Genomic DNA, 11,455 nt, shown 5'->3' with positions numbered 1-11,455 from the left:
CATGGGTTTTACACACTTACCTTATGGAAGCCTCATAACAATCACATCTTTTATAGATTAGCAAACTGAGGCTCAGACAAGTTAAAAACAAATTCATCTTCACTTCATAAAGAGCGATGGAACTGGGATTTAAATCCAGTTTTCTCTGTCGCCAAAAATGGTGCATGTTAAGGAGAACCAAGTTATACCCAGAACATGGAGGGGTCAAAACATGTGGATTCTCTTTTCTACCCCCTCATGTGTGAATTTCAATGGCTTGCACTGCCTCAGAACAATCCTAAACTCCCTCCCAGGTTGCCTTGCAGTGGTTCCCTTTTTCTTGGGGATGATTAGGAATCTGCATATTTAGACCACAAGCATCACCTTTTAACAGGTGTGTTGATCAAGAAATGAAATTTGCTAGGCCATATGTTACTAAGTGTGAATTGTCCAGCTTCTCTTCAATAAATAAAGGGGCTATTCCGTGTAAAACATCACCGCATCCACTGAATTTGTGTGGGAAGATTTGGAACAATACGGCAGGAGCATCTTACTGACAGCTGCGCAGGAACACCAGCCAAAACACACAAAGCAGGAGCAGCTCCCAAGGCCAGGTGTGGTGGTTCTTGCCTGTCATCCCAACAAAGTGGGAGGCCAATGTGGGTGAATCACTTGAGGTCAGGGTTTGAGACCTTCCTGGACAACACAATGATACCCTGTCTCTACAAAACATCATTTCTTATTATTAGAATGAGGAAGAGTACCTCTAACCCTCAGCCATTACTTTAGGGGAGAGAGCTCTGCTCTAGAACTCGGGATGTGAAATTGGGAGTCCCAATGCGGCTACTTAAGCTTAAATACAAGAGCTGTCAGACATTTCCTCTACCATAATGAAATCGGTGGCATCCAATTTGTATTTTGAAAACTTAGTTTTTGGCCAGCCTAGGAAAAGAAGAGGGCCCAGAAGTGGGTATTTGGGCAGAGCAATGAAAAGTAACCGGCTGGATGCAACAGGGAAAGAAGGAGTGGGGAGTCGAGTCAGAGCAAGTCCTCCTGTTTGGGGCAGGGGATAGGAAAGCGAACTAGGAGCAGGAGGGAGGAGCCCTAGGCTGTGGATGCCTCTGGGGGTACCTTGGGTGAGCAAGGCCAGAGGAGCTCCTAAGACCAAGAGGTATCTGTCGCCTCCCTACCTTTTGGCGTCTTCGGGTCGCCAATGTGCTGCTAGTCAAGGCTCCTGAATCAGACTGGGCAGGCTCCAAAGCAGTGGAGTCTGGCGCTACTCCCACCGCCACCTCGTGGATCTCAGAAAGGCTCCAAACACCGCACCCTCAGCTGGCCCTGCTTGGGGCTGGCATTGGGGGACAGCGTGTTCCGGGCGCCTCTTCTCCTCTGTGCTAGGGCCTTCGCCTTTGCTGGCTGCCCACTCATAGATGTCAGAGCCGCAGGAAGGCTCCGCAGAAGCCCTGTGCGGGCCCTGCCTGGGGCTGGCTTTGGTGCACATGCGACAGGCCAGCGTGGTCCCCATGGGACACCTCTGTTCTTCTCCAGCAGCTTGGGCCTTCGCTTGCCCCCACGCCTGCAGAGCTGAGCACCTGCCACCTCTCCCCAGGAAAGGCAACCAAATGCCACCAACTGAAGGCACCCACTGAAGGCACTAACTGAAGGCCAGTTGCCCTGCCAGCCAGATCGTGTCCTGCTTAGGAGGAACCAATCAGGCCTTGAGTTCCCTCCACGCGCCGCCCTTCCATTTGTGATGTGGGAGTCCAGGCACTGGCTCACAAGGCCCCGCCCCCACAGCGGCCCTGCCCCACCTTTCATTCATTGATAGCTTCGAGAAACTTTCAGGTTTCCTCACTGTGAATTATGAATATGAACTATATTAAAATTACTGTAACCCAATGTGCTTCATGCACTATCTGGCATCCAAAGGATCCTCTTTCGCCCATGTTGGGGTTTTCGAAACTGGAAAGAAGACTGATTTCTGCAGGTGCTTCAGAAAAAATCTTTGCCATGAGTTAAGTCTACTGTGTGATGTTAACATATATATATATATATCATATATATATACACACAGGTATTCAAAAATTATATATTCATTTTATGTTTTTGAAAATAACACACATATTCAAACTAGCACGTGTAATAGAGAAATTTCCTAAAATTTGTACACTGAGTAAACCATATTTTTCTAATGATTTCGTTGATAGAGCAGCTTTCTAGATGCAGCCCTGTTCACATGTGACTGGTATTTACCTTCTTTCATCAAACATGTCTTTAGAATCGACTCAAGGCAAGATGCAGTAGAGAAATGTAAGAGCCAACTAGAGGAGCCATTTAACTACTAGGTGAGACTGATAGGTATACAAGCAACTTCAATAAAATGATAGGCATGGAACGTACCTGGGGAGAAGTGCTAAGATGGGCTCCAAAAGCCCCGTATTCATGAAGATGCAATCTTTATATTTAAAATACTAGTGATACAATAAAATGTTCTCCTTCACCTCTCACCTTTAATTTCATGGTATTGTCATCCACCCTCTCTATTCTGACTAAGCGTTTCTTTCGTAAGCCCCAAGAAATAGCAAAACCACGGAAAATAAACATTTCAATCTTTGCTTTATTGTTGAAAGAAGTGTGTCGTTGATGACTTAGTTTATTATCATAGAGCCAGATTCCCAGTGAGGAAGCAGCATGAGCTGGAATTCATGCCCTTCATTTGGAAAGCTTGCAAATCATTGACATTCTTTTTTTCGCTAAATGTTTTAGAAAATTAGAATTCTCTTTATGCTGTAAAGGGATCTTAAAATGACGGGAATATATTTGTACTCTCCATGACAGTGTACATATTCCTTCTCTTAGTTTAGTACAAAAATAGTACTTAAGGAACTTCTGTGGAATAATAGCAATTCTAAGTAACAACTAGAGTTGAGATTTTTCATAAAACAAAATGTATAAACTCTTATTGTTGTTTGTTCGATTTGAGACAATCTAGCTCTGTCGCCCAGGCTGGAGTGTAGTGTGGTGATCTCAGCTCACTGCATCCTCCACATTCAGTTTCAAGCCATTCTTCTGCATCAACCTCCCAGGTAGCTGGGAGTACAGGCAGACGCCGCCATGCCCGGCTAATTTTTATGTTTTTAGTAGAGACAAGGTTTCACAATGTTGGCCAGGCTGGTCTCCAACTCCTGACCTCCAGTGATCTGTCTGCCTCTGCTACCCAAAGTATAAACATTTTTAAACATTTAAAGTTGACCTTGCCATTTAGAAATGTAGAAATTCATCAGGGTCCTGAGTAATTATAATGTATATTTATCTGCCCACATTTTTTACCAGGTGCATCTTCTCCAGCAAGTTCTTCAGCATCCTTTCCAGAAGCATTCGACAGCCAAGGAAGCAGGCTACGCCTCACCTACTCCTTCCTGGGCTAAAGATCTCAGACTTAGTTGCTTAATTTGGGAAAAATAAATTAAAGAAGTCTTCTATCATTATACGCAACATAGAATAATCTGTTTAAGAAATTATTTTTGATCCTCCACATTTTGATGCCAATCCCACATTTGGTAATAATGATTATATATGCAAATATTTTTAGCCGATTAAATTGGAACATATTCTTTGAAACAACTTCATGATGATTTTTGTTCTAATCAGTAAGTTTAATGGAATAATAAGGTATTTTTGATAAAGCACGTGAGTTATTCTCAATGATTACAAGATCTTACGACATTGTAATCAAAATGGATCATTAGAGCCTGGCTTGGTGGCTCATGCCTGTAATCCCAGCACTTTGGGAGGACGAGGGAGGTGGACCACCTGAGGTCAAGAGTTCAAGACCAGCCTGGCCAACGTGGTGAAATCCCATCTCTACTAAAAATACAAAAAAAAAAATTAGCTCGGTGTGGTGGCGGGCACCTGTAATCCCAGCTACTTAGGAGGCTGAGGCAGGAGAATTGCTTGAACCCCGGAGGCAGAGGTTGCAGTGAGCTATGATCACGCCATTACACTCCAGCCTGGGCAACAGGATTGAAACTCTGTCTAAAAAAAAATGGATTATTAAATATTGATCTAGTATTTACTGTAAACTCAGCACTTTGGGGTATATCAGTGCTGTATTTAGTTTTATTATGCTATATTTAGTTTTATTATGCTCCTAGAGATTTTTTTATCTCTATCATAGAATTTTCAAACATTTACTAAGGTAGAGAAAATTTTAATAGTTTAATGAACCTAATTTACCATTTAATCAGCTTACTAACAATTAATACATTGCCAATTTTGCTTCATCTACACCTCCACACACTTTCTCCATATTCCTCTTTATTGCCTTAATTGAAGTATAATATACGTATCCTCAATTTTTTGGAAATTCAGACATTGTATCATTTCCTCTACAAATATTTCCATATGCATATCTAAATGCTAATGACTTAGAACACAAACAGTCCTTGACATCATATGACCTTGAGGCAAATTAGCAATAACTCTTAATGTATCAAATGAAGTATTCAGTCAGTTTTCAACATTTTCCTATTGTCTTGTAAATTATTATCATCAGCATTATCTTATAGTTATTTTATTTATTTATTTATTTGTTTATTTTTGTGACGGAGTCTCACTCTGTTGTCCAGGCTGGAGTGCAGTGGCGCAATTTCGGCTTACTGCAATTTCTGCCTTCTGGGTTCAAGTAATTCTCTGCTTCAGCCTCCCAAATAGCTGGGATCACAGGCGCCTGCCACCATGCCTGGCTAATTTTTGTATTTTTAGTAGAGACCGGGTTTCACCATCTTGGCCAGGCTGGTCTTGAACTCCTGACCTCGTGATCCACCTTCCGCAACCTCCCAAAGTGCTGGGATTACAGGTGTGAGCCACCGTGCCCAGCCTCTTATGGTTATTTTAATTGGGATTTGAATAAGGAGTATACATTAAAATTAGATGATAAGACGTCTTAAGCTTCCTTTGATATCTTTGAGTATATCACCTACATGTGTCCCTACATCTTTTTTCACTTGCACTCCATTGGTTCCTTTAGTTTCGATTGAAGAAACCAGATTATTTATCCTGTGGTATTTCAACATTCTGCATTTTTCTGATTGCATTCTGTGGTATTATTTACTGAACCTGTGATATAGTTTGGATGTCCCCTCCAAATCTCATTGATATGGTTTGGCTCTATGTCCCCACCCAGATCTCATCTTGAATTATGACCCCCATGTGTGGAAGGAGGGACTTGTGGGGAGGTGATTGGATCATGGGGGCCGTTCCCCCATGCTGTTCTTGTGATAGTGAGAGAGTTCTCATGACATATGGTAGTTTAATAAGTGTCTGGCATTTCCTCTTCGCTCTCTATCTCCTGCTGCCATGTAAGATGTGACTTGCTTCTCCTTCACCCTCTGTGATGATTGTAAGTTTCCTGAGGACCCCCAGCCATGCATAACCATGAGTCAATTAAAACTTCCTTTATAAATTACCCAGTCTCAGGTAGTTTCTTTATAACAGTGTGAAAATGTACTAATATACTCATGTTGAGATACAATCCCCAATGTTGGAGGTGGGGCCTTGCGGGAGGTGTTTGGGTCATGGGGACAGATCCCTCATAACTTGGTGCTGTCCCACTGATGGTGAGTGAGTTCTCAGGAGATCTGTTGTTTCAAAGTGTGTGGCACCTCCCTAGCTTGCTCTCTAGTCCCAGTCTCTCCATGTGAGAAGCCTGCTTCCACTTTGCCTTCTGCCATGAATGGAAACCTCCAGAGGCCTCCCCAAAAGGTGAGCAGATGCCAGCACCATGCTTCCTGTAAAGCCTGCAGACCTGTGAGCCAATTAAACCTTTTTTCTTTATAAATGACCCAGCCTCAGGTATTTCTTTATAGCAACAGAAAAACAACCTAACACAGCATGTGTCTGTGCCCCCTGTATTTCTGTAAATATAGAGCTTCAGTCAGATTCAGAATTGATTTATTTGTCAAAAATAATTGAAATACCGAGCAAACATCTGCCTCAGTGAATGGCCACTATTTCTTCTATAACTACATTTATGTTCCATTTGAATTTCACTTTGTGTTATCCCTTTTTTCTTTTTTTTTTTTTTTTGTTTGCAGTTTCATGTTTGTTGACCACTTCCCTCTTTTGATTGTTCATTTTTGTAAAATGTCACGTGAGCGTCTCACTGGGAGACAAAGAGGCAAGACAACGACATACTTTGTTCTCTTTATAAACTCAGTAACAAATATGCAGTGATTGGCAACCTCATAATTTGAAAGAGATGATGGGTCACTGATCATGATTGCATCTGTTATTTATGTTGTGATTTGTGGACTGAAGAGCTCACACAAAGTTTGTACTTTACGTAATTACTCACAGTTAAAATACCATGGCAACTGAATTTGGAACCATGTTGGGGAACTCACGTTATTTAATTAAATCGTAGTTATTGGAACTAGGTGGAGCAGTGATGACCTGCACCTCTTTTTTCCTGATGTTTTCTTTTATATCTGCAATAAACATTTACAGTTTTCCTTATAGACTTTGAAATTGTCTATCAATTCTAAAAATATTTTAGTTCTTGTTGCTCTTCTGAATCACCCTTTATACTACATTTTACAAATGAGCTTCACTGATATATAGTACACAGGACAGTTTTTAGTTTCTCTACTTAATAGCTTTTAATGGATTGCTTGACTTGGTTTTTAAATTTTAAGTAGATACATCATCTGAGAATTTAAAAGTCTGTCTTTTCCATTCAGATATTTGTTACCTTGTTGGTTTTGCTGTTGTGTGCATTGGCTAGAGACTCCAGGATAATGTTGAATAATATTAATTATAATACTGACTTTAATGGTGTATTAGTCTTGTCTCTTATTTTCTGAATTTGATGCTTTGAAATCTGGGCCTTGTTGACCCTGGAGGGACTGCCCCTCTGAGGATAGGCTAATTGCTGGATGTAATAAACAACTTGCCTGCATGCATGACTTTCCTATATAATCCAACCAACCCAGAGTTTATACCCCCTTCTTTCTCATCTCTTCCTCACTCTTTATTCTTCTTTATCTCTGTTTATCTCTTTTGCAGTCTTTATTCTTCCTTATCACTCTGACATTTCTGGCCACTGTTCTGCCTCTCTAATTTCCTCAGGGCCAGATAGCAGCCTCTTCTTTCCAGAAGACAATGAAATATTTAAACTAGCCAATGCTAAGCCTGATTGCCCTGACTTGCTTGTTCCCTCCCATGGAACTGCAATAAAGATTCTTTCCCATGTTTTCCCCCATTCACGTTGCCTCCTGACTGACCTTGATGTTTCCCTGTCCTCCCCCTTGTGGTGTGCTGTGCCCACAGCTTCTAAGGAACTGTGAGTAGTAAAATAAACTACTTCCCTCATGACAGTCATTTCTGTGTTTGTGTGTCTTACCGTTACTGATTAAAACAAATTCTGGGTAGTATGAATGTAAGTGACATTTCTGTTTGTGCTTTATTATTAAATATGTCCTTTGCTGTAGGTTTCAGACACCTTTCATCAGTATAAAAACATCTTCCTCAGATGCTAGCTTCTTATGAAGTTTTAAATTTTGTTAACAAGCAGTGGTGTTGAATTTCATCAAAAGCCTTTTTGATATTTATTGAAATAATTATTTGATTTTTCTCCTATGAGTTTTTCCAATAAAAAATGATACTGATTGAACAATAGGTTAAAATTAAAGTTTCATCAAAGACCGCCAGAATATAATAGCTCTGAAAGTCCAAATCACCATACGTAGGTTTTCATAGCAAATATCCGAGAACCTGCTCCACAACTGTTAATTTCCCCTATTTACTTTAACAATATGAAAGGATGTAGAGTGGAGAAGACTGCAGGGAACTCTTGCCTTGCACTCTCCCCTATCTTGCCTTTGATAGTCATATGTATGGAGAGGAAAATAATGCAAAGTCTCAACCCTGGGTTTAGAGGAGGAATCCTTAGGGGGCCGCCAGGACAACTGACCAAAAAACTCTGGGAACTAACAAGCAGTTATAGCAAGGATGCAGCATACAGGGTTAATGTAGAAAAGTCAATTGCAATTGCTCTTTTAACACCAGCGATGAGCAATTGGAAGTTGAGTTAAAAATATACCATTATGTTCACATTCCTCCCTGCAAATGGAATACTTAGGTATAAATCTAACAAAATATATAAAAGATCTAGTAGGAAACCTACAAAATTTTGATTTAAGAAATCTAAGAAGAACTAAATAAATAGAGAGATAGTCCACGTTTGTAGATATGAAGGCCTAGGATTTGTGAAATGTCAGTTCTCCCCAACTCGCTCTATAGATTCCATGCAATCCCCATTGAAATCTCAACAATTTATCTTGTGGATATTGACAAATTGAACCCAAGGTTTATATGGAGAGGCAAAAAAAAAAAAAAAAAAAAAGGAAACAAGAATAGCCAACACAATATTAGAAAAGAAGAAAATCAGGGGACTAACACCACCCAATTTCAAGATTTACAGGAAATCTACAGCAATCAAGACAGTGTGGTATTGGCAAAGAATAGACAAATAAATCAGTGGAACAGAACAGAAAGCCCCAAAATGGGCTTATACAAACATTTAACAAAAGGGCATAGGTAATAATGAAAAGATAGTCGTTTCAACAGATAGTGCTGGCACAAGTGGATATCCATATGGAAAAACAAAAACAAAGAACCTAGACACAGATCTTGCATCATTCAAAAAATTTAACTTAAAATGGATCAGAGAACTAAGTAAACTATAAAACTTCTAGTAGATAATATAGAAGAAAATCTAGATGACCTTGGGTATGGCAGTGACTTTTTAGATACAACACCACCAATGACATCATCCATGAAATAAATAATTGATAAGCTAGACTTCATTCAAATTAAAAATCCTTGTGAAGTGCAAAATCAAGAGAATGAACAGACAAGCCACAGATGGGGAAAAACATTTGCAAAAGACATATCTGATAAAATACTGTTATCCAAAATACACAAACCATTAAAACTCAACAGTAAGAAAATGAACAGTCCAGTTAACAAAGTGACAAAAGGTCTGAATGACACCTCACCAAAAAAGATACTACATACTGTATGATTCCAACTATATGATATTTTGCAAAAGGTATAATTATGGAGACAATGAAAAAGATCAGTGGTTGCCAGGGTTTAAAGGGGAGGGAGAGATTAACAGACAGAACACAGGATTTTTAGGACAGTGAAACTAGTCTACATGATTCTATAATGGTGGATACATGTCATTGTACATTTCTGAAAACCCACAGATTGTGCAACCTCAAGAGTAAACCCTAAGTAAACTATGGACTTTGGATGCTAATGATGTGTCAGTGTAGGTTCATCAATTGTTACAGTGCTATTTTTGTAGAATTGTGGTAGTGGAGGAGACTGTGCACGTATGAGGCAAGTGGCAAATGAGAACTCCCTGTACATTTTGCTCAGCTTTGCTGTGAATCTAATACTGGTCTAAAAAATAAAGTCTATTTCAAAAAACAAAAACCAAAAATGGATGACTTTAACATAGATTAGATTATGCTGAAGAAAGAATTGGTGAATGGGAATTAAGATCTGATGAATATATCCAGAATAGATAAAGAAATAGAAAATACACACAATTTAGAGATAAAGAAGCTAGTGTTAGACGATTTAACACATTTCATTAGAGTTTCAGAAGAAGCAAAAAAGGAGAAGCAATGTTTGAAAACAAAATAAATTACAATTTTCTGGAATAGTGAAAGGCAGATATTTGTAAATTCAGAAACCTCAATGAATTATCAGACAACTTAATAAAATAAATTCAGAGTTAGACCCACTCTATGCACCAAAGACAAAGAAAGGGTCTTAAAATCATGCAGAGGGGAAACAAAGAGATGACCTAATGGAAATAATAATTTCACAGGTAACTTCTCAACAGCAACAGTGAAAGGGAGAAGACAGTGGGGACAATCCCCTCAAAAAACGAAGAGTTTTTACCATCAATTGAAATTTTACATCCACTGAAACCATCTTTGAAGAATGAGGGTGAAATAAAGATATTCTAGGAAAAAAATACTCAGCTGTACCTCAAATACTAGAAAATATGTGTGTGTGTCTCTGTGTGTGTTTGTGTGTGTGTGTGCGAAATCAAAGTGGTCCAAAGTCCATGTATTTTCTAGTTTAAAGTTGTTTAACTTGAGACTTTGAGTATGGATATTATCATTATAGGTAGCTATTAAAAGAATACATACAGTATATAAGTTTTCAACAAGAAGCCTCAAAAAGAGGATAAGAGGAAAATCCTAATCACATGAAGTAGACAAGAAAGGAAGCAAAAATCCCAGAAGAATCCAGGGTAATAGTAAGTACAAAATAAGATGTTAAAAACAAACTATGTAATCACATTCAGAGTAAAAATAATAGGCTGGGCGTTTTGGCTCATGTCTGTAATTCCAGCGCTTTGGGAGGTTAAGACAAAAGAATTGCTTGAGGCCAGGAGTTAGAGAACAGCCTAGGCAACATAGTGAGACCCCCATATCTACTAAAAAAAAAAAAAAATTAGCTGGGCATGGTGGTATGAGCCTGTAGTCCTAGCTACTTGGAAGGCTGAGGCAAGAGGGTGGCTTGAGTCCAGAAGGTTGAGGCTGCAGTGAGCCATGATTGCACCACTGCCCTCCAGCCTGGGTGACAGAATGAGACCCTGTCTCTAAAAATAAAAAAAAAAAAAGAAAATTAAAAAATTTAAAAAGAATAAACTTGCAGTTAAAAGATAATAATTACTAACTAGATATAAACACAACAAAATCTGCTTATATGTCATTTACAAGTGGCAAATGTAGAACATAAAGGCATGACGAGTTTGAAAGTGCATGAATAGATTTGTCAGGCAAATACCTGAAAAAAGACAGTACAGCTGCATGAGTACAAGACAAAAAGCAGAAAACATTGCATGGTGATGGACGGTTCAATTCACCAGGAAGTCACATACGTAATTTTTGTTTACACTTAATAATAAACAGTGTCGGAATATATAAAGCACAATTTGCCAGAACAATGAAAAGATACTGACAAATTTGCCCTCAGAAGATTTTAAAACATTCTTCTTAGTAATTGATGGATGCGACAGACCAGATAACAGGCTGCAGGCAGAAGATTTGTGCAACATGCTTCACAAGCTTGTTCTAAAGAACATGTATATTGTACCCAAGTACACATAAACCGTCGGTAAAAATGGATCACACATCAAGCCATAAGTCTTAAACACACTTCGAAGCCTCAATTATCATGGAATTGGGTCATTTCAGTATCATACCAGCCAAGATTCCCATGATCAAACAAAATACGAGGCTTAAATGTTCATTCTCCTCCTTGAGGACCTACTGTAAAATCTTAGTTCACATTCTATCATGAACTAAAGTTAAATCATGTTTTCTGTAAACTCTGCCAAATGCTGCGGTTTGTATTGCAGTTGGCCTATTGCAATGCCCCATTAGAA

At 39.1% G+C, this 11,455-nt stretch overlaps 1 long non-coding RNA gene across 1 annotated transcript, besides 1 other annotated feature; it reads left to right on the top strand.

Annotated features, from left to right (window-relative positions):
• Positions 1,411 to 1,911: an enhancer, noted in NCBI's record as "H3K4me1 hESC enhancer chr10:26868178-26868678 (GRCh37/hg19 assembly coordinates)". NCBI's record gives its function as "activates a minimal SCP1, AML or CMV promoter by ChIP-STARR-seq in naive H9 embryonic stem cells {active_cell/tissue: H9 hESC(naive)}" and the evidence as "EXISTENCE:reporter gene assay evidence [ECO:0000049][PMID:30033119]".
• Positions 1,853 to 3,474, top strand: LINC03028 (long intergenic non-protein coding RNA 3028). Its single transcript, NR_134472.1, has 3 exons — positions 1,853 to 1,966; positions 2,187 to 2,324; positions 3,313 to 3,474. It is a non-coding gene; the product is annotated as a long intergenic non-protein coding RNA 3028 (long non-coding RNA).
• Positions 3,475 to 11,455: the final 7,981 nt, after the last annotated feature.

This window comes from Homo sapiens, chromosome 10, assembly GCF_000001405.40.
Source record: "Homo sapiens chromosome 10, GRCh38.p14 Primary Assembly".
Classification (NCBI taxonomy): Eukaryota; Metazoa; Chordata; class Mammalia; order Primates; family Hominidae; genus Homo; species Homo sapiens.
This window is presented reverse-complemented; position numbering and strand designations above follow the sequence as displayed.